The sequence below is a fragment of the Homo sapiens genome, chromosome 21 (assembly GCF_000001405.40).
Source record: "Homo sapiens chromosome 21, GRCh38.p14 Primary Assembly".
In the NCBI taxonomy this organism is placed as follows: domain Eukaryota; kingdom Metazoa; phylum Chordata; class Mammalia; order Primates; family Hominidae; genus Homo; species Homo sapiens.
The window spans coordinates 35971142-35995821 of NC_000021.9; the positions used below are offsets into that span (position 1 = coordinate 35971142).

Here is a 24680-nt window from a genome sequence, read left to right on the forward strand (position 1 = left end):
AGCTGAGATTGCACTACTGCACTCCAGCCTGGGTGACAGAGCAAGACCCTGTCTCAAAAAAAAAAAAAAGAAAAGAAAAAAATAGTGACTTTCCACAATGCAATGTAACGGGAGAAATAAAGGATGGCTGGATGCTCAAAGGAAGGACTGTGTCCAGATTTAGAGGTTCAGGAAAGATTTCCTTAAGAAGTGAGAGCTAAGCCTCCACATAGCAAAGGAGTTGGCCAGAAAATCAGAAAGGGGAGAATATTTCAGGCAGGCAGAAGGTAGTAGGTAAGAGAAGGTAAACTCAGCCAAGAGACTCAATGGAAAATGTCCAATGCGACTGGAAGGTAGAGGCCAAGGCCAGAGGCCTACAAGCTGTATTAGGGAGCCTGTATTCTTTCCAAAAGCAATGAGCTGCCTTAGAAAGGGTGCTGAGCAGAAGAGAGTAAGGAAAATGTGTCAGGATATCTAATAGTCATTGACTACCCAAATGTTCCCCCACCCTTCCCAGCACAGTTTTGCTCTGTGGTGAGGCAGTGCTGTGTGAGTAGCTCTGGCCAAGGAACAGTGAGTAGAAGTGATCTGTGACATTTCCATGCTAAGGCTTGTAAAAACTGTTACTTGACCAGGCACAGTGGCTCACGCCTGTAATCCCAACACTTTTGAAGGACTAGGTGGGAGAATCACTTGAGGCCAGGAGTTCGAGACTGCAGTGAACTATCATTGTGCCACTGCACTCCACCCTGGGTGACAGAGAGCCTGTCCTCCAAAAATAAAAAATAAGTAAATTTAAAGCTGGTCCTTGACCTTCCACACTGGCTGCCACAGCAATCTGGAAGCCATGTGCTGAGATGGTGGCCTCCATGCATAGAAGCAGGATTCCCATGTCACCACATGGACAGCTGCCCTGGAGGCTCACCCAACCCACACTGGACTTTTCATGAGCCAAAAATAAATCTTTCTCATGTAAGCCATTGAGGTATCAAGGTTTATTTACTGCAACAGGAGCAAACTGACTAATAAAGTTTGCAAACATGATCCAGTGATTGGGATCAAAGTTTCCAAAGCTCTATGACAACATTAAAAATCCTTGTCATCTCTAGCAAAAAAAAATGTCTTCCTCCTTTTGAAAGAAGGGACTAAGATAAACTCATGTCACTGCTTTGCCTTTTCAGGGGTTTACAACTACTTTATTGATGAGCACATTGCTCTGCTGAGCAGATGTGAGATTCCTCCTGCTTAGAGAACTGTAAGTAATCTATTATATTCCTCTCTTTCTTTTTCCTTCTTCATGGTTCCACCTTCCTTGATGATGTATGTGCCTCTTTGTTCTTTCAGGCCTGGCCCTTCTCCCATCCGTCTTCAGCAGTGAGATGGTCCTGGTGGTAACTCAAAGGTGGCCATGCAGCAACTACAGCCACAAACATTGTCTTCACGCCCAGCCCTGCTGCCCCCTCCCAGGGCAGGAGAGTCTCCTAACACTGCTGCTCCTGCAGGTGGAGGAACCCGAGATCAAGCCTTGCCTGGTCTCTTATGCTTTGCCTGAACTTGGATACATTCCCTGACTTCTCTGCGACTTAGTTTCTTCTTCTGCAAAATGAGGATGATAATGCTTACTTGAGGGTCCTATGGAGATTTATAGGGAGTAACAAATGTAAAGTTCCCAGCTCAGTGTCCAGCATAGGATAGGAATCTCCTAAATCTGTTTTCCTTTTTCTCTTGCCCTTTCTTCTGAGGAAGAAGCTGAACCTCTCAGATCTTCATAGTTTAATTCCACATCTATCTATCTAGGCCTTTTGATGGGTACAACTCCATGCTTGAGTGTAGAGGATGCAAAAGATGGAACAATCTAGCTGGGGAGGCAATAGGTACTCATGGGGAAAGGTTAACAGGCTTATTAATTAAATGTGTAAATGCCCAAGTGTTTAATATAGACCACAAGTACTTAAGAAGTTCAAAGAAAGAAGAGACACACCTGGGCTCCTGGGATTCAGGCTAAGGATTCAGCACAGGGAAATGGGAAGATAGAGGCCCTTCCCACCTTCCTTCCCAAGGCTAAGTCTCCCCACTGCTGAGTTGGCCACTCTTTCTAATCCAAGATGGTCATCAAATTAACAATGAGGGAGATGGAGAGAGATTTTCTCACCAGCTCAGTCCACTCAAACCAGATACGTCCACAGGTACTATCTGATGATTCAGAAAAGTATAACAAGTATACTTTTGAATGAATTGGCCCACCAAGCACATGCTCTTGGAAGGCCTGCTCAAGGGTAGATGTACTGGTTGTACTTCACATTGCAGGTTGGGACTTTGCCTGGCACAATTTGCTCAGGTAGACCCTAACATCTGCACCAGTCATACAAAGAGGATTCCCAAAATAAAATAAGAGATTCCCATTGCTCTGTAAATATTGCACACAAATGCCCTCAAACTCCTAATTCTGGCGGCATTAGCTCCTTATTGATAATAACACCTTCAGCTGGTTGAACTGTTTACGTGGCTATGACCAGCACGTATAATTTTTGTCAAAAATCTAACAAAGCTCCAGCCACCATTCCCAAAGGAGAACATGGATTTTTGTGTGATCCTATCATATTAAAATTGCAAAACTATGCAAACTACGTAATATATCCACTTACCTAAGATTCTAACATCAAATACTGCAAAGGCCTTGATCAAAGCAGAACAGGTCAATAGTGACAGGTCAGATATTTTGTTTCTGCTTCTTTCCAACTCCTCAGGTACATGGAAATTTGAGGGACTAGAAGGCTCAAATTCAGATTTTAAGGTAGGCAGGACCCAATAGCTGCTAAAAAACTAACAAGTTCTTAAGAGAGACTGGTTAATAGATGTATAGTGTTGTAAACAAAGGTGGACAACAATCCCACAGTTCTTTCTCCATATATGAACAACATATGGACCCCACATGTTCAGACCTGGAAGGTGGCCGAGTAGTGATAAGTGTTCTTCTTTAGCATCAGAAAGCAGTGAGGACGGTCAGGAGACAGCGAGACAGAGAAAACACTAGTGTCATCCTTAAATGTTGTAAGAGCTGTAGTGTGAAGAGAACTAGGCTTTCCCTATAGTTCCGAAGAGCAGCACTGAGACCAACAGATAAAAGTTACCAGAAGACAAATTTCACCTACATGTGAGGGAGACCTTTCAAGTAATTAAAGCCATTCAAAAACTGGAAGAGCCACAAGAGGTGATGAGCATCCTGTCACTGACAAATTCCTACAAAGGCTGCCTTTCACTTTCTTGGCTGCATGGAAATTCAGGGGATCATGAGATTCTTCAGGCTTCGAAGTCAGGTTTTGTAGAGAATTTCCACATGGACAGAGAAGTTAGGTTGGGTGTCCTCAAATGACTGCCCATAAGCTAACCGAAAATTCTTACTTCCTCTGATAATATTTTCTTCCAATACAAAGGCTAAGAATTTCCTGCATGCAGGGCTTAATACCTAGGTGATGGCTTGATAGGTGCAGCAAATCACTGTGGCACACGTTTACCTATGTAGCAAACCTGCATGTCCTGCACATGTATCCTGGAACTTAAAATAAAATGAAATAAAAATTTTTAAAAAAGAATTTCCTGCTTCAGATTATCAGTGAGCACCCTAATCACATCATTATCGTTTCTAGTCTTTTTCCCAACGGACAGGTCCGGTGCTCAATGGCATTTGTGTGATTCTTTCCCCACCCCATCCCACAGTCACACCGGCACTCATGCTAAAAGCTGTCCACTATAAACCCCATCATTTATAATGCAAAAAGGGAATCATTGATTTTGCGCTGATGAGTCACCATAATGCTTTTCTCTTATATGTACTTAATCGCTGTGGTTTCTCCGAGGATGGAAAGCTTTCCTTTCTGTGGGAGGATCTAAATAGCTCTCTAAACAGACACCAGCTGGGCAAACAGTGCAGAGAATTTCGGCACAATGTGATAAGAGCAGCCGCACCCGCAACCCAGGTCGCTTCTCAGTACAGCAGCCAAATTAGAAATAGCTACTGAGCAGATCCTTTTGATCTAACCGTAGGATGCATCCATTTCTTTCTTTCTCTCTCTTTTTTTTTTTTTTTTTTTTTTTGAGACAGAGTCTCACTCTGTGACCCAGGCTGGAGTGCAGTGGCGCAATCTTGGCTCACTGCAACCTCTGCCTCCCAGGTTCAAGTGATTCTCCTGCCTCAGCCTCCCAAGTAGCTGGGATTACAGGCACACGCTACCACACTTGGCTAATTTTTTGTATTTTTAGTAGGGACAGTGTTTCACCACATTGGCCAGGCTGGTCTTGAACTCCTGACCTCAGGTGATCCACCCACCTCAGCCTCCCAAAGTGCTGGGATTACAGGCGTTGAGCCACTGCGCCCAGCAAGGATGCATCCATCTCTTAAGAGAATGCTACATCCAGTTTCACGGTTAGTCGCCAAACCTGAAAATTATCCATGTATCATGGAATCAGAATGTGTCTCTCCCAGGATGGGAACTGGACAGAGCTGGTACAGCACCCAGGCAAGGAGGAAATGATAAAACATCAGCCATGGGATGGGGGTAATGAAATGCTTCCCTTTAGTCCTCATTTCGGCGGCAGCCTTTCCCATCCTGCCCGGCATCTTCATGCTGTGCTAATCTTTGTACAGGGGTAAGGCCTTCCGTGTTTATTTCTTCCTTTTGTCCAGAAGGAAGCCACAGTAGTTTGCAATCTTAAACAGGAAACACAGAACTCAGAATCCAAGAAAGCATACTTTGCCTCTCTCTCTCAAGAAGTCTCAGCAACTATTGAACAAGCTGTGCCCATCCAACATTACATACTTGTTTGAGGCAGAATGAGATAGAATGAAAATAATGAATGAATGAATGAATGAATGACTCCTGTAAGATTGCAGACTGTTGATAGCCAGGTAGAAATCATCCCTTTAGGAATGTTCTAGCATGTGCATGGGCGTAGATGTGAGAAGAATCACAGCCTCCTCATGTGAAACAAGGGCTGGCCAGGGGTCTTTTTTAGAGGTTCCTCGGGGCTGGAGTTAGGACAAGTATTTCCAGCTCAATGCACTATGGGAAACTGAAGCTAAAGGAAGAGACAGAGCAAATAAGGTCTTTAACGCCAAGGCCACCTAGCATGTGACTGTGAGGACAGTCACCCTCCAAGGCAGGTCACATGAACTTAGAGCCCACCTTTTTAAGGGCAAGACTGTTTGGCTTCTTGCTCTGGTGGAGGAATGAAGCCAAGTCTTTAATTTGCATTTCCCAATTGAGTGGAATCAATCTCTTTTGTATCCTGAAATACTGTGATTGCCTTGATTGGGTAGTATCTTTACATGCTGAATTCCAAACCGCCAGCTACAGACACACATTCTTTATTTGCACCTTGTCTTTATATAGCCTGGGACACACTCAGAGGAGGGTGAGCCACATTCTGAAAGGGCTCACAGCGTACCTGGTTTTGCCCACATTAGTGAAGCAAATGGGTCCACCCAGTTGGGTCCACCCAGTCCAAGTCTCAATGTTGAGCCTTGACCAGAGGTTAAATACAGGATGTGGTGAAAACAGCTGAACCATTAAACCCCCTAGGAACTGAAAACCACATTATATGTGTTATTTGTTCTCCTAGGAATTGACGTGGGTATCCAAATCTAAGAAGTATGTTTAGCAAGATACTGATATCAACAAAGGGATGAGGCCCAGGGCATTGTTGGGGCAACAAAAAGCTCCCCTTCCTTCTTTCTAGAAAAGAGGAAAGGAGTCATGCTGGGTGCAGGGTTCTGGGGAGGAAGGGAGGGAGGCAAGCAGGGATTTGTTCTTGGAACAGAAAAGCACAAGCAAGCAGAGTGGGCATCCGCCTCAATGCATGGCACTGACCATCCTGCAGACACAGGTGCTGAAGGAGCCTCAGAACGCAGCTGGCATCATAGGTAGCACTCACAGGCCCATGCAGCCTCCCCAAGCCTGCTTCCCCATGTCCCTTCATGCCCTGCCCACTTTCCTAACCTTGTCCCCCAGGAGTTTCCACCAAGAGGAGGAGCAGCTGAGCTCACAGTACCTGGAGTTCTGTTGCACACACAGCTGTGCAGGCCCTGCATCACCCTCGGGCCAGGACAACACTGGGGCTACATTCACCCAGCTCCACCACCTCCAGTTGCCCCATGCTGAGAAATGGCTTCAAGGAGCAGCCCCATCCTGTGGCCTGGATTTCTCTAGGTGGGCTCAACTCACCCTCTTCCATTTGTCCTGCTCGTTTCTGCAGAGGCTACGCTGATATGTCACTTTCTTTTTTTCAGGGACCTCAGTCTTGGCCTCTCCTTTTGAACTGCTCAAGGTCCCCTTACATGTGTTCTTCATTGAGGCTTTTTTGGCAGAGGTTTGCTTCCCCAGAGATTAATAAATGCCCACAGCACACTTTGCTGAGGAAGCTGGGTGACACTAGGAGAGCTCTCTGTGTCTCTCTACCCTCCATGTTCTCTAGCAACCACATTCTCCATAGCAGTCTGTGCTCTGAAAGTTACAGGAGAGGACTCGCTGGGAAAAACCATTTTTCCAACTGGACTCCAAGTTGGAAACTGTCAAGTGGAAACATAAATACAATGAAAGGCTCAGGAAGAAAACGCAACAATAAATCTCAAGAAGCAGAGAATAGAATGGTGCATGTCAGGGGCTGTGGAGGGGGGAAAAGGGGAGCTTTTCAGTGGGTATAAAGTTTCAGTTATGCAAGATGATATGGTTTGGCTGTGTCTCCACCCAAATCTCATCGAACTGTACTCCCATAATTCCCACATGTTGTGGGAGGGACCTGATGGAGATAATTGAATCACAGGGGCAGTTTCTCCCATACTGTTCTCATGGTAGTAAATAAGTTTCACGAGATCTGATGGTTTGATAAGGGGAAACTCCTTTCGCTTGGCTCTCATTCTCTCTCTTGCCGCCACCATGTAAGAAGTGCCTTTTGCCTTCCGCCATGATCTTGAGGTCTCCCTAGCCACGTGGAACTGTGAGTTCATTAAACCTCTTTCTTTTGTAAATTACCCAGTCTTGGGTATGTCTTTATCAGCAGCATGAAAATGAACCAATACACAAGATGAATGAGTTCTAGAGATCTGTTGCACAATGTCATGCCTATAGTTTACACAGTATCGTACACGTAAGAATGTGTTAAGAGGGCAGATCTCATGTTAAACATTTTTACCACAAAAAAATAAACATATGATAAAATTAAGAACACAAGGAAACTTTTGGAGAGGATATGTTCATTACCTTGATTGTTGGGATAGTATCCTGGGTATAAGCCTATGTCAAATTCACCAAATCGTATACATCGAACATGTGCAGTTTTGGTTTTGGTTTTGTTTTGACACAGGGTCTTGTTCTGTTGCCCAGGCTGGATGGAGTACAGTGGTGCAATCACAGCTCACCGCAGCTTCAAACTCCTGGGCTCAAGCAATCCTCCCATGTCAGCCTCTCATGTAGCTGGGACCACAGGCACGTGCCACCACACCAGTCTAATATTTTTTATTTTTTTGTAGAGACAGTCTCACTTTGTTTCCCAGGCTGGTCTCAAACTCCTGGGCTCAAGCAATCCTCCTGCCTCAGCCTCCAAAGTGCTGGGATTACAGGTATGAGCCCCTGTGGCCTGCCCAGTTTTTCAAATGTATCGATTACACTTCAATAAAGCTGTTTTCCAAATAAAATGAAAAAGAAAACTCAACCATAGCGGGCGATGGGCTGTGAAGTGGGAGGGAGGATTCCTCCATGGCTCCCCGACTTTGAACTTGGATGCCTAGGTAAATGGCAAACCAGGGAAGACACAATAGAGGCGGGTATTGGTGGATTTCCACCCACAACTGCCCCACATAGGCAACCGCTATATGAAATGTTATCACCTCTTCGTTCATGATATATATATGCAGTGATGTGATGATAAATGTTTAGCAACCATATCTCCAAAAAATTGAATGTATGCGTGTGGGTATGTGTGTCTATTCCTGTACAAGTTTACTACAAATTTTTAAAATTTTTTCCCAGCTTCATTAAGGTATAATTGACAAATCAAAAGTATACATATTTATAGTGTATAATGTGATGTTTTGGTCTGTGTACACATTGTAAAAGATTAAATCAAGCTAACATATCCATCACCTCACCTCACATACTTAGCTTATGTTTGTGGTAAGAATACTTAAGATCTACTCTCTTAGCAATTTTAAGTATATGATACTGTTATGATCTGAATGTGTGTGTCCCTCCAAAATGCACATGTTGAAGCCTAATCCCCAATGCAATAGTCTTAAGGGACCTTTAGGAGGTGAGGAGATCACTGGGGTGGAGCCCTCGCAGATGAGATTAGTGCCCTTATAAAAGAGAACTGAGGAAGCTTGTTCTTCCCTTCTGCCCTGTGAGGACCCAGCTAGAAGGCATCATCTATGAAGCAGAGAGCAAACCCTCATTAGACACTGAATCTTCTAGCACCTTGATCTTGGACTTCCTCAGCCTCCAGAACTGTAAGCAATAAATTTCTGTTGTTTGTAAGCCACTCAGTTTATGATATTTTGTTATAGCAACCCAAACAGACCAAGACAAATACATTAACTATAGTTATCATGCTGTGTCTTATAAATTTTTTGACATGAAGGATGTATAGCACACAATTTACAAATAATAAGATTGCCTTTTATGTAAATCGGTAAAGTCAATTGATTCTTACAGAATGGTTTTGTTGATTTTTGCCAAACCATTGTAATTGCAGCCAACATATGGCTGCAACTGATGAACAAGTGTAGCTCCAATATGAATGCTGGTTAATATTTTTGTTTTACATTAACAAGTAAGAAGAAAGCAAAATAAATGACAAAGACATATGGTGGAAAACATTTTCATCATTCATAAGGGCGACTCTTTGTTAAATCAGGTAGTAGTTGTCAAATACTAGAAGACTGTTTCCTCAATTTTTGTGCCATTTACAATGCAGCAGCTGAAGACATGACAAACTTTTAAGTCGAATCTGCATGATTAACATTTCCCCACACTTCCTTGTGTCTAGATAATCAACAAAACAAGCAAGCTCTGATTGGCAGAATTTGTCAATTTTTTTGGTGTAAATACTCCCATTGTGGCATATTCCAGGCTACCAAGGTGATGTCACTGAACACAGAGTTGCAAAGAGATGTACAGTAGCACACCAGAGTATTGTATTTTCACCACACAGATGCAATAGCTGGCCAGGTTCGGTGGCGCACGCCTGTAATCCTAGCACTTTGGGAGACTGAGGCGGGCAGATCACTTGAGGTTAGGAGTTCAAGACCAGTCTGGCCAACATGGTGAAATCCCACCTCTACTAAAAATACAAAAATTAGCCAGGTGTGGTAGTAAACACCTGTAATCCCAGCTACTTGGGAGGCTAAGGCAGGAGAATCGCTTGAATCCACGAGGTGGAGGTTGCAGTGAGCCGAGATGGTGCCATTGCACTCCAGCCTGGGCAACAAGAGTGAAACTCCGTCTCAAAAAAATAAAAATAAACAGATGCAATAGCTATAAATAACCTTAAAAGCACAGCTAATAATAAAAGGCAGTAAAATGATTAAGAAATGATGAGCTTAGAATGTTATCATCAAATTCAATATAATTTATTTAACAATAAGTGTAATTAATTTTGAATCATGGCTGTGTTTAACAACTGGCTTGCAAAATTCCTGAAAAGTTAACGGTTGGCTCTTGCATGCCAGTTCAGCCCAGCCCCAATGCACCGTGACATAAATGCCCAAACAATATGTTATTTTTTGTACTTTAAAAAATGGTAATATGCTGCATGCAATCTGGGAGTTGCTTTTTCATACCACATTATGTCACTCTTGTCTTTTGACCCTCAACATCATCCTTGCCCCTTCTTTGCTCTCAGCTGATGTATCACAGGATGGGGCAGCCTGGGAACAGCCCTTAGGGTCTCTGTTCTGAGATCATCAGTGAGAAGCACATGGTGGGACAAAGACAGATTTCACTCTTCCTGGGGCAGCGACAGCGGCAGACAACCGGGCTTCTGCAGTAGCAACAGTGGCTTCCTGATACCTCCTGACTTCTGAGGAGCACCACCTCCCTTGGCTTTTGCTCCCTGACCATCCTTTGCAACCATTTTTTCTTTCTTTTTTTTTTTTTTTGAGACAGAATCTCACTGTCGCCCAGGCTGGAGTACAGTAGCACAATCTCTGCTCACTGCAACCTCCGCCACCCGAGTTCAAACGATTCTCCTGACTCAGGCACCCGCCCCCATGCTTGGCTAATTTTTGTATTTTGAGTAGAGACGGGGTTCACCACGTTGGCCAGGATGGCCTTGCAACCATTTTCTAGGCACCTAATTTCCTGAAGTAAACCCTTCCTGCTGGAAATATACAGAATGGTTTCTGGTTCTCAGACTAAAAGGCTAGAATGTATTCATGTTAATGCTTGTTGCCTACTTTCATCATTTTCACTGTGGTATAATGTTCCGTTTTGTGGCCATATCCCACAGGATTCTCCCTAACTTGGCTCCATTTTACACCCTGCCTGCCCAGCCTCTGATACTTTTCATAGCCAGTGTTCTCAGATTAGATTAATAGAGACCGTGCTGCGGTGTTTACCCAAATGGTTCTCATGCTTACCCATTAGCGTCCTCAATCCTTGATCTCATTCCCCCTCCTTTTCCCATAGATGAACCGGTGGATCCTGCTTTCCAGTCTGTCACCCTTGGCGTACAGGCTACCACGAGTTGAAGGAGGGTCTATTGCTGGAGAAGACTGGTTCATAGGAGTCCGCTCAGGCTCGCAGCTGCCAACATGAAAAAAAAAATCATCTCAGAAAAATGTAGCTCAGCTGCTTACAATAAGTCATTGTTATACCTACGTTTATCATTGTGGGGCACAGATGCAACCGTTTCTCTGTGCTAACAAGCTGATTAAGCTCAGCCAGGACTTTTCCAGAGGGTCCTCCCTCTCCCCACATAATCTATGTTGAGATGCTCAGCACAGAAGTTAGTGCATTGCTGGAACAAAAAGAAGTCTCTCTTTAGAGGGTTCCTAGCATCACCGCAACTCCCAATTCTCCTCTACCTCTTTGTATTCCTTTGTATCATTCATTCCTCGTTCCATGTTTCGTGTCACTGAGCCTTTCAAAGAGGGCAGATACAGCTCTCTATATTTCACAGAGAGCTCTAGAATTGCAATTACATCCATGACACATATTTTCATACCCCTCAATTCTAGGGCACTCATAGACCACAGTAAGAGATGCTCCTGCTCATTCTGAGGAACACCAACAGGCAAGATGCACCCCCTGACTGCCCCACCAAGAGCAGACCATCTGCCCTCTCTGACGGCATGCTTCACTCTGTCAACATGAAATGGCATGTTGTTCCTGAACATCCCATGATGGTCTGTGCTTCTGTGCCTTTTGCCTATCCTATTTCTGCTTCTGGGCACACTTTTTCTCTCCTTGCCTTTGGGTTGAAGCCCTACTCACCCTTTTACACCCAGTTCATTCTGAGTTGGACTTCTGGAAGGATCAGAAAGTATCCTCCATGCAGACACCACACATCACTTCACCCTTTTTCCCAAGGCAAACAACACTAACCTAGTCCAGGTCATGTTCCTGTTAGGCCCAGGTATGCCTCAAAAACTCTAGCAGAACAGCACCCCAGGCAGCATTTCCCAGTCAATCACATGAGCAAGCAAGATACACGCCTCTCTGTGTCCCTGTCTAGGTTTCTTCCGTGTCCCTGTCTAGGTTTCTTCCGTGTCCCTGTCTAGGTTTCTTCCTTTTCTGGAGACAGGCTAGGGACTGGCAGCTGTGACTGTGTATTGCTAAGTGCAATTCCAGGAGTCTGCAGAATGGAAGGCACATCCTTTTTTTTTTTTTTTTTTTTTAAGACAGAGTTTCACTTCATCACCTAGGCTGGAATGCAGTGGCGTGACCTCGGCTCATTGCAACCTTGGCCTCCTGGCTTCAAGCAATTCTTGTGCCTCAGCCTCCCTAGTAGCTAAGATTACAGGCATGCATCAACACGCCCAGCTAATTTTTGTATTTTAGTAGAGACGGAGTTTCACCATGTTGGCCCAGGCTGGTCTCAAACTCCTGACCTCAAGTGATCCTCCCATCTCGGCCTCCCAAAGTGCCGGGATTACAGGTGTGAGCCACTGCGACCAGCCAGGAGCCAAATCCTTGATGCCTCCACAGCCCGAGGCCAAGCAGGCCTCCCTCTTCCTGTGCTCCCTGATCTGTGCTAAGATCAGGTGCTCCCTCTATTCCCCAATCCTAACCCACTTGGATGCACATGTGATTTTAGTACAGCTTCCTTTAATTTCATGTTTAATGATTTTTCATACTACAACTCTTTTTTGTCAGAGCTGTATTTCTATGCTTTTTACCTTCATTGGCAAAGCTTCTGGAAACAAAGTATGTTAATGAAATTTTAAAAATAAAAAAATTACATAAAACCCAATTCAGGTATCTCCACTTCCATAAAGCTTTCTCAAACACCACCAATCTGAAATACCCTATTCCATGACCTCTGCACGTTGTATAGGATTCTTTATGCCCTTGAGGGATGAGGTAAAGTCTTCCCCCTTAATTTCTGTCACTTTAAGAGCAAACGTAGTAACAGACAAGGAGCAGACTTACTGTTTACCATAAGAGCTGTAGATTCCCAAGTTCAGTGTTCATCAGCTAAAATGTAAACTCACTACATGCTTAGCATTCACGTTGGCACATCCAGGTTACCCCTGTGGGACTTGAGGGGCAAGGGGAACCAGTGCCAACATGACGCTCATTCAGCTTGCTGTGCCATGAATAATAAAGTCCTTTGTCTCTGACCCAGGGATCTTGTGTCTTCTGCCAGCATCCATAAAACAGTAACAAGCTAACTTATCAGCTTGTAAGTAGAGTAAAATCTCAGACCCTTTGCAGGTCCTGGTCTGAGTTCATGCCTTTTCTTCTTTGGGACTGGCCCCAGAGTCCAGCATAGGTCCTGATTAGTATATATGTAGAAAGTAATCAAGTTCAATGGACTAGACTGAGGACAGGGAACTTTCCTTCTACTGAATACCACTTAGCCCAGTGTTTCTCTTTTTTTTTTTTTTTTTTGGCCCAGTATTTCTTAACCTCAGCACTATTGACATTTGGAACCAGATAATTCTCTATTGTAGGGGGGCTGTTCTGTGCATGATAGGATATTTAGTAGCATCCCTGGCCTCTACACAGTAGATGTCAGTAATACCCACCCCCAATCAAAAATGTCTCCAGACATTGCCAAATGTTCCCTGGCAGAGTAGTCTCATCCTCTACCCTCACCACTGAAAACCACTTATTTTACCTATGCAGAAGTGGGGGTGGGGTGGGGAGGAGGAAGCAAGGGGTTATAACTAAATTATCATTTAGTGGAGTTTGAGATGCTAATGTACCGGAGAGGTATAGAAATATTGCACTCACCTGCCTATTCACTCAAGGATCACACATGATAAGTCATGACATATTGCAGCCAACAGTAAAACACAATCGTCGTGAGCACCCATGGGTGCCGGGCAGGAGCGTCCACCGTTCATCCACACCCTCAGCCATTCTGTGAAGTGGGCATTTCCACTCTGCAAGAACCTGAGGCACAGGGAGGTCACGTGCCTTGCCGAGGGGAAGAGTTTGGACTTGAACGCAGAGCTGTTGATCTCTGTCGCACTTGTTCTTAATCATTAACCTATTGTTAATGATCCGACAAAGAACGTGGGGGATGACATGGAAGAGAGGGGATTGGAAGTTATGAAATGGGAAACCAAAGTTTACTTTGAGGGGAAAAAAAAGTCAAACTTACATGTCAATAGCATCCTCTTAAAGGTTGAAAATATGTAACCCTTTGGATATTTTAAGAGCACATATAGTATCAGAATCTGTAACAACATGTACTTTAATTCCTACATAAAATGTTAAAATACAGCCCAAGTGAATAGCTCTCTTTCCTGCATCCAGAAAAATGCGAACCATCCAGTCTAGGAAGGAGCAAAGTGACAAAACCTGTTTGAACAAACCCAATGCTACACTCCACTTCAATGGAGTACCTTTCCCATCTGGTGGTGGGTTCAAGAATTGTCCCTAAAACACTTTTAAATCCACTCGTGACTTTGCAAAGTAGTAGCATCAGTGCCAGCCTGAGTCCCAGCAGTTAGACACATATTGATCCCCCAAATTGATTACTAATTGACACCAGATTCTGGTAATTTCAAGGGCAGGTCAATTACTGGCTGCCTATAGAATTATTAGTACAAAGGTGAGTAACCCCTAAGGAAAAACACTATTTTGACTTTATTTAAACTTTTCCCTGAGAAGCTGACATTCCTCTACAACATTAATTCTCAGAAATATTTTTAATGCACTGTAATATTTTATCTTGGAGGCAGAGAAAAATAGCAAGAAATAAGAAAGGGGAAGAGAGTGCATGGAAGAGAGGGACAGTCACAGTCATTGCCATATTCGGTGGAGAGCCAAAAATAAGAATACACAATTATGTTTAAAATATATGGGGCCGGGCACAGTGGCTCACGCCTGTAATCCCAGCATGTTAGGAGGTGGAGGTGGGTGGATCACTTGAGGTCAGGAGTTTGAGACCAGCCTGGCCAACATGGTGAAATCCCATCTCCACTAAAAACAAAATTAGCCGGGTGTGGTGGCAGGCACCTGAAATCCCAGATACTCAGGAGGCTGAGGCAGGAAAATTGCATGAACCCGGGAGCCAGAGGTTGTAGTGAGCTGAGATTGCGCCACTGCAGCCTGGGCAACAGAGTGAAACTCTGTCTCAAAAAAAAAAAAAAAAATATATATATATATATATATATATATATGTATATCAATTAAAGATTTTAAAAGGGGTAAGTCAATTTCTCTCTGGAATCTTGAAAATATAATCCAGAAAAATGAATGACTCCATAACTAAAATATTAACTATACTTAAAAGTAGAATTGATGTCCAATACTGATATATCCAGATAACTCATATTGACACAAATATCTCTCCAATAATTTTATGTTTTCCAATATAATTGTCTCATGTCTTCATTCTCCCAATCTTTACACTGTTCTCTTTCTTTTTACAGTAATATCATAGAAAAATTGGTAATACATTTGTATTCATTAATCTGACAAATAGTTATTGAGCACCTGCTCTGTGCCAGGCATTGGGATACAGCAGTGAATAAGACAAATCCTTGTGCACATGGGGCTTACACTCTAATTGGGGACACAGGCAATCTACAAGTACACGTACCTCAGGTTCCATAGAAAGCACTAAATATCATCTCATTTAATTTTTCCAGCTCTATGTGGTGGGTCCTATTATTTTTCATTTTACATGTGAAAAACAAAAACAAAAACAAGGCTCAGAGAGGTTAATTGGTTTGCCCAAGGACTCAGATGAGTGAGTGGCAGAACCAGGATTCAAAATCAGATATCTTCTCCAAAGTCCAACATCGTCCAGCTGCAAGTTTTCAACAGCAACGCAGCCAGCATCCACTGATGACAGCTTATGTGCCAGGCCCTGGGGAATACAGAAGTGACTGGGGCCTGCCTCCAAGAGTTAGCGCAGCATCTGCCTGCCTAGGGGACATCAGGCTTCCAGTGTCTAACAGGACACCCACCTGCTCACTGGCATTCACTGAAAATAACAAATTCTCCCGATCTCAGCTCCAACATTCTGAAAAAAATACCAAAAATTATTATTTAAAAATTATAGCAAAAGTTGGCCAGGTACTGTGACTCACGCCTGGAATCCCAGCACTTTGGGAGGCTCAGGCAGGTGGATCACCTGAGGTCAGGAGTTCGAGACCAGCCTGGCCAACATGGTAAAACCCTGTCTCTACTAAAAATACAAAAATTAGCCGGGTGTGCTGGCGCATGCCTGTAATTCCAGCTATTCGGGAGGCTGAGGCAGGACAATCACCTGAGCCCAGGAGGTGGAGGTTGCAGTGAGCCAAGATTGAGCCACTGAACTCCAGCCTGGGCGACAGAGCAAGACTGTCTCAAAAAAAATAAAAAATAAAAAATAATTGTAAAAGTGAAATTCAACAAAAGGATTAACATCAAGATTAACATGAACTGATCCTGTGATTTCCCTACAAGGGGAGGAAAAGCTACGTTTGAGGCTCTTTGGATTTTTGCGGGGCTTTCTTTCCCCATTTTATTTAGAATAAGGCAATGGAAGTGCAGCTCTTGCTTCTATACTAAGCGCATTTTGAAAGACTCATTGACACCAAACATCAATGAGGAATGAAACATTACAAAGATGCTCCCCTTTAAACAAACATAAAGTCAGCGCTTTTAAATATTATGTGCTTCTTGGACAGGTATTCTAATTCAAGACAGCATCTCACACAAACTGGAGCTGGCGATCAGTCGAATAACCTGGCTGACATCACTGATAAGGCCAAGGACTCCCAGCACCTTCTGACAAACCTCTGTTTCCTGCTTCTTGTCTGAAGTACACTGTTTGCTTGGCAAAAGCCAGGAGACGTGAGAACCTCCCACAGCAAATGTTGATATAAAGAAAATTTCCTAAGTGACCAGTGATATTTATCCAGGTATTATTTCCACCACCTGTGCAGAGTTTACCAAGGAGGTGGGTAGGGTCGCTATCTTGGGTGCGTTCAGCTTGAGTTGCCTGGATACCACATCTTGAGTTCAACAGGGAACATAAATCTAATTGTTCCTCTCTTCACTTAAACCCTAAGGATTCCAAATTAGATTGCATTGCTGAACTACATGAGTGAACCTTATGCATTTGACCTCTCAATGTGGTTTGCAAATCTACCCTCTGGAACTAAAGGCAGGAAGCTTTGCTATTGAAAAGATGTTAGCGTCTCATCAAACACAGCCAATGTTCAAGAATCGTGCCCCTTGGCAGGAGCATGTTTTAATTGCTGGTGATATTGCAGAACAGATTTCTGAAGTCTAATTTTCTTTCTGCAGCCAAATTTTCGACGTATATTAATAATATCCTCATAAACTTACATCTGTGGGTACAGTCATCGCTGCATAGTTGGCTTCACAGTTCTAAAAAAGAAAAAGAAGAAAATTTGGAAAAATTATTCCCAAAAAGGACACGATTATAAAGTTGATAGTAGGAGCAAACTTCAAAGTTACCACTCCTATAGAATGTTTAGAAAATTTTAAGATGATTAAACTTCATGGAAATTTTTAAGGTCTCTTTTCATGAAATTATTTTTTTCTTTTGACTATATTTCCATTTTATAGCACTTATCACAACAGTAATTAACGAATTAGCTGCATAATGATTTATTTAATGTCAGTCCCCCTGCTCGTTCTGTAACCCCCTCCAAAGGGAGGAACCGGGACTGATCTGTTTACCTTCCCAATGCTCGGTATATTGACAAATAGCAGGGGCTCAAAAAACTTTTTTTTGCTGCTGTTATCTCCATAATAGGATCATGATTGCATTGTCAGAAGTGTCAATTAGCTACCTCAAAAGCACTTGGCTTCATTTAATGACTTCCTCTCATACTACAGTTATGCAAGATGTGACGGAAGTAAAGGAAACATGGAATATCCTTGTATATTTTTTGCAACTTCCTATGAATCTACAATTATTTCAAAACAAAGAGCTTTTCTATAAAAAAAAAAAAAAAAAAAAAAAGATTTTGCTCCCTGCCACCAGCTTCTTGGATTTCACCTAGATCTTAGGAACTTCCATCTCAATCTTCCCATACCCATAATATACTTGGCTTCCTGATTTCAACAATGTTTTCCAGGAGGTTGACTTTCAACAACCCAATATGAGCTAGAAGCTCAGCGTTCCTTCCCACCCACCCTTGACAAAGCAGATCATTTTATACGACAACAGCCACTTTTCTGAGAGGGCCTGCCAAAATGCCAAGTGTGGTGCCAATTTTTATACAATTGATTCCTTTCTGTCTCCTCCACACAGAGACCACCAAAAAGCTGTCACATGGTAGTAATTTTCAAGAACTCACTGGCACATCAAGGGTCAGGAAGAAATGTTATGTTGATGAGCTGGTCATTTGCTCAAGATTTCTGGTTGGCAAGAAAATACAGAGCGTGCACACCCAGGTTCCCAGACGACAAACCACACACCCAAGTATTATTGAGCCTCATCCATGGCAGCCTCATGTTACACAATGAATCAGGCCACCGCCCAGCGCCAAGAGCCTTGGAAAACTATGCAAAGTGCATTAAAATCAACAGAAAAACTTCTCATGTCACAATATTTAGCTTCTCACTTCTCCAAGCTTCCCCCAAAAACCAACCCTCCCCGGCCAAAGTTTGACGCTACTGGCTTGAATCACACAGTCAGATTTGGACTTTTCAACAAACCACAGAACAGATATTAACTTTCCTGTGAGCCTGGGAATACGGTCGGCAGTTCTGGGCATGAAGAGAGGTTCAGTGTCCAGGGGCAGAGCTGAGCCAGGGTTGCAGGGAGCCAGCAGAAGGTGGTTCCCAGCTGCCCTCTCCAGCCCTGAGCTGAGCCCACTCTCTGGACCTCTTTGTCTTCCCAAATGATGCCCTTCCCCGGAAGAAAAACAAAACAAGACCAAAGGCCAGGCGTGGTGGCTCATGCCTATAATCCTAGCACTTTGGGAGGCCAAGGTGGGTGGATCACCTGAGGTCAGGAGTTTGAGACCAGCCTGGCCAACATGGTCAAACCTCGTCTCTACTAAAAATACAAAAAATTAGGTGGGTGTGGTGGTGCATGCCTATAATCCCAGCTACTTGGGAGGTTGAGGCAGGAGAATCACTTGAACCTGGGAGGCAGAGGTTACAGTGAGCCGAGATCGTGCCACTGCACTCCAGCCTGGGCAACAAGAGCGAAACTTCGTCTCAAAAAGATAAATAAACAAAGCCAAAAATATCTGCCTTTAAATTCACATCAGTCTCTGTGGGTCAGAAGACAAAGGCTGTCTAGCTCTCCAACACCTTCACAGGCTTAAAGCAGGACCTTCCACTGACTCGTGTGAAGGCAATGGCAAATAACAGACATTCAAGGAGAAACAGCTTTGACGAACCTCTCCTGACAGTGAGGCTAGGAGAGAGAAAAAGAAATGAAAATCAATTTGCATGATCACCAAGACAGAAATGGGGGCAGAGGGAAAGAGGGCCGAAAGGAGAGAGAAATGATCTTCGTTATTAATGTTTTTAATATGGCAGCATGATTAAGACATAGTCTCCCTGCCAGGCAGCAAGTTCAGAGGGAGACAAACCGCCCATCTTCTCATGGGTTTTTAGCAGGAGAGTAATGCCCATTGGCGTAACAGTTTCAAATCGATACAGCACTTTCACCTATAGAAACTCACTTACGGACAGGTGCTCTGGCTCATGCCTGTAATCCCAGCACTTTAGGAGGCCAAGGCGGGCAGATCACCTGAGGTCGGGAGTTCGAGACCAGCCTGACCAACATGGAGAAACCCTGTCTCTACTAAAAATACAAAATTAGCCAGGCATGGTGGTGCATGCCTATAATCCCAGCTACTCAGGAGGCTGAGGCGGGAGAAGCTCTGGAACCGGGGAGGTGGAGGTTGCAGTGAGCCGAGATCATGCCACTGCACTCCAGCCTGGACAACAGAGTGAGACTCCGTCAAAAAAAAAAAAAAAAAACTCAGTTAAACTCTCAGCCATCCTGAGATATTGTACCCAATTTACAGAAGAGGAAACTGAGACTTAGAGAGCAAGGGGCAGAACCAGGAGAACAGTGCGATGAGTCAGGCCAGCCATTCCGTAGGGAAGTGAAAGAAGCAAGTGAGAATTGCCGTGCTAGTCTTTGGGAAAAATAAGATAAAGCATAGCTCCCCGGGTAGGGGTGGGGGAGATTCCTCTCCTCCTTTGGAGTAGGCCTAGGACTACGGAAACAGGATTTCAGAGTTACACTTGTTCTGACAATCCAGAGAATAGTCCCTAAGCAGATAAATGCTCATTTCAAAGGTGATTCTCGAACATTGTCTCCAAAAAGAAATCCACCCAGAAATGTGAGATGAGAGGACTGTACACAAAGGGCCTCAACTGTTGCTTCCATTGGCGGCTCCAATGGGATACTGGTTTAAGTCAAAATATCAAAGGATTTGACGGTGAGCAGCGCTGGCCAGACTCCTGACTGCAGCCATGAGGAGAGAGAAGCCCCTGTTGTCCAGGCTTCTGTTCACACATCTGCATTTTCCCAGTGCAAACAGAGGTGGCCTTGCGGGACAGAGCAGGAGAGTGAGGAGGGAGATGGATCATCACTGTCCCTCACTGATGCCAGTTTCCTTTTCACCACTGGGGATAAAAATGCTTGGCTCCAGGCCAGACACCATGGTTCACACCTGTAATCCCAGTGCTTTGGGAGGCCGAGGCGGGCAGATCATCTGAGGTCAGGAGTCCAAGACCACCTGGCCAACATGGTGAAACCCCGTCTCTACCAAAAATACAAAAATTAGCTGGGCATGGTGGTGTGCAGCTGTAGTCCCAGCTACTCAGGAGGCTGAGGCAGGAGAATCGCTTAAGTCTGGGGAGGCGGAGGTGCAGTGAGCCGAGATCGCGCCACTGCACTCCAGCCCGGGCTACAGAGTGAGACTCCATCTGAAAAAAGGGAAAAAAAAAAAAAGCTCGGCCCCACCACCTCACAGAGCCAGAGTTAAAAGCCAACTTGGGCCGGCGCCTATTGCATCTAGGAAGGTAAAGCCTAGTAACCTGGGGGAAACTGTTTTCCCAACTCAGCCTACGATTCCATTTTGTTTTATTTAACCTCGTTCTGGGCGTGCAGTTTGTAGCCACGTGGGAGGCTCCTGTACTGAATTGTTTCCAGTGTGCTGAACCAGACTGATGTTTCCCTGATGCTAGGCCAGTGCGATCTCATTTCTCCTCCTGTGAGAGATTTGGGAGCACGCCTCCCTGGGCAGAGGCTAAGGGGAGCAAAATAGTGCACCCCCAAGTGCTAGCAGCCAACATAAACCATCAGGCTTAGTAGTAGGGAATGGAACAGCCACCCTGCAATGGCTAAAATACACATCACATAAAATTTACCATCTTCACCATTTTTAAGTCTACAGTTCGGCAGTGTTAAGTACATTCACATGCGTGTGCAGCCACCTTCACCACCATCTCCAGAACTCTTTACATCTTGCAAAACTGCAACTCTGCCCCATTAAACACTAACTCCCCATTCCCCTTCGCCCCAGCCCCCGGCAACCACCGTTCTACCTCTGTCTCTACGAATTCGACTACTCTAGAGACCTCGTGTAAGTGGAATCATACAGTAGTTGTCCTTCTGTAACTGACTTCTTTCACTTAGTATAATGTCCCCGAGGTTCATCCCTGTGTCCGAATTCCCTTCCTTTCCAGGCTGGGTGCTGCGCTGGTCTATCTACAGCCATACAGCATTTTCTGTATTTATTCCCCCATCGATGAACGCCTGGGCTGCTTCCACCTCTCAGCTATGGTGAATAATGCTGCTATTAGCACAAGTGTACACACATTTGTTGGAGTTTGCAGCCCTTTCTCACAGCTTCCCAAACAGACAAATAGAAGTGAATGGCGCATCCCAGAAGACTGTTGTTTCCCTATTGCGGGGTTAACTGCCCAAGTCCACCTGAAGGTGATGGGCCGGGCCCTTCCGATTCAAGCTGGGGCTCAGGGGGCTGTCTCAGAGGCTGCCAAGGCTACCTTACTGTACAATGCCTCACACACACACAACACCCACCACAATGCCCAAGCTTCACACAACATGCACCCCAACTCTCCCATATACCCCAACTCTCACAACACACACCCTATCAGATGACCCAGCTCTCATACACCTCAACTTTCACACATACCCCCTCACACACACCCCAACTCACACACACCCCAACTCACACACACCGCAACTCACACCTCAACTCTCACACATCCCAACTCACATACACCCCAACTCACACATACCCCAACTCACACACACCCCAACTCACACACACCCCAACTCCCACATACCCCAACTCCCACACACCCCAACTCCCACACACCCCAACTTCCACATACCCCAACTCCCACACACCCCAACTCACACACACTCCAACTCCCACATACCCCAACTCACACACACTGCAACTCACACCTCAACTCTCACACACCCCAACTCACATACACCCCAACTCACACACACCCCAACTCTCACATACAACTCACACACTGTAACTCATACCTCAACTCTCACACACACCCCAACTCACACACACCCTCACACACCTCAACTCTCACACACACCCCAACTCACATATAACCCAACTCACACACACTATAACTCATACCTCAACTCTCACACACCCCAACTCACACACACCCCAACTCTCACACCCCAACTCACACACACCCCAACTCTCACACACACAACTCACACCTCAACTCACACCCCAACTCATATACACCCCAACTCACACACACACTCACATACCTCAACGTACACACACTGCAACTCACACCTCAACTCTCACACACACCCCAACTCACATACACCCCAACTCACACCCACCCCAACTCTCACATACCTCAACTCACACACACAACTCACACCTCAACTCTCACACACACCCAAACTCTCATAACACACACCCCAACTATCAGATGACCCAACTCTCACACACCTCAACTCTCACACACATTCCAACTCACACACACCAGCTCTCACACGCATCCCAATTCACACACACCCTAGCTCTCACAACACACACCCCAACTCTCACACACCTCAACTCACATCCCAACTCACACACACCCCAGCTCTCACACACCCCAACTCACACACACAACTCACACCTCAACTCTCACACACAACCCAGTTCTCACACACACTGCAACTCACACACCCCAACTCTCACACATACCACAACTCTCACAGCACACACCCCAACAGATGACCCAACTCACATACACCCCAACTGTCACACACATCCCAACTGATACACACCTTAACTCTCACACACTCCAACTCACACCATTCCGACTTACATACACCCCAACTCACACACACCCCAGCTCTCACACACCCCAACTCACTTCAAGTCACACACCTCAACTCTCACACACCCCAACTCTCACAGCACACACCTCAACAATCAAACGACCTCACACACCCCACTCACACACATCCCAGCTTGCACCTCAACACACACACTCCAGCTCACACACCCCAATTCACACACACCCCAACTCACACACCCCTCAACTCACACACCCCAACTCTCACACACAACTCACACCTCAACTCACACACACTCCAACCCACTCACTTCAACTCTCACACACCCCAACTCACAAATGCCCCAACTCACACACACCTCAGCGCACACCTCAACTCTCACACACCACAACTCTCATATCTGAGCCCCACCAATCAGAAACCCTGCCATGTCCAGGGACTTCACGAAGACAGCCTCCAGGCCAACTCAACCCGGAGTCGAGTCCAGTGGCTGTTTGCTCCTGGCTCTCCATAAGAGTTTGCTTGGACTGAGGTGAACATTCACTGGCAGAGGACTCTGTGTGACTGGCTTATTCCACGAATGCCAGCACCTACCTGACTCACTGACCTGACCCAGCACTTCCCTAAGCAGTAGCCACATGGACCACTGAGCAAGCAAGTGGTGCAATAAGCGCACTGAACAGATGCTGGTTAATCAGGAGGGCAGTAAGGTCTTCCCGGACTGTCCTGATAAGGGTACCTATGGTGACAATAGCAGAAAGTGGCCCCAGACTTCAACCTATCTGCTTTCCTGCATCTGGGCCCCAGCCCTCCTCAGGAGGTTGACTTAACCACTCACCACACCAATAAACAAATCTCCCTTCAACCTCAGGCAGTTCAGGCATCGGATGGCCAAAGTGCAGAGAAGGATGCTTTCCCTCCCCTTTTCAGGAAGATAGGAGAAGAAAAGTCCTGTGGATAGCATCCACGGATTGACTGGCTTTGCCAGGCCTGTGGATAGTTATAGTCACAGATGTCACAAGGTGCACAAAACAAAATGATCCAGCCATTAGAGACCAGGGCTGCTTCTCAGCAGGGCACAAGGCAGGAAACTGAAAGATCACTCAAGTCTCTAACGAAGAAACCCAACCAGAAACAATAGAAGAGACACCTTCTCAACTATCTCAATCAAATGTGTCGTCATCTTCTGCAACAGACCTTACTGTCTTTGAACCAATGCATTCAGTCATATCTCAAAAGACTCCCAGCTCTGGATCCAATCGGCTTGAACTTGAACCCATTTTGCCAGGAACCAGGAGAACAGGCTCCTAGGCAGAGCATGAGGCTGTCAACTCACCTCTTGTGGAAAGGTTTGCTCTGAGTTTGTTTTTTAAATAAAGAGGGCAACGGCAGGAATAATTACATGTAGTAAATATACTACTCCCCTCCTCAAGTAACCTCTTCACAGCAACCGAGACCCAGGAAAGTCTGTCATTAAGGTCCATAAAGGAAAAAAAGTGCATATCAACATTGAGGTTTTTGTGGTGAGCCATGATGAGTTCTCCCTAGAGTTTGCTGGTACTATCTCACCAGGCTCTTTTATCCCAACATGGCTGTGGTTTAGTCTTCAAACAAGTTGAAAGGTAAGCAAATACCCTTCCTTCCAGGTTACATTTGACTGCCCTCAGCGTCAGGTGTGTTTTGTGAATGCCAGCATTATCATAAAAAGCCACAATTCACCCACACACAACCACAGAACC

General features: G+C 45.0%; 1 long non-coding RNA gene across 1 annotated transcript in view; it reads right to left on the minus strand.

The window, feature by feature from the left end:
- The window catches only part of LOC101928269 (uncharacterized), a 50008-nt gene that overhangs the window by 16482 nt on the left and 8846 nt on the right, over positions 1-24680 (minus strand). The window contains exons 2-4 of the long non-coding RNA NR_110418.1: positions 16989-17030; positions 13431-13689; positions 10610-10775 (exon numbers count right to left, since the gene is read on the minus strand). This is a non-coding gene — a long non-coding RNA (uncharacterized LOC101928269). The remainder of the gene's footprint in view (positions 1-10609; positions 10776-13430; positions 13690-16988; positions 17031-24680) is intronic.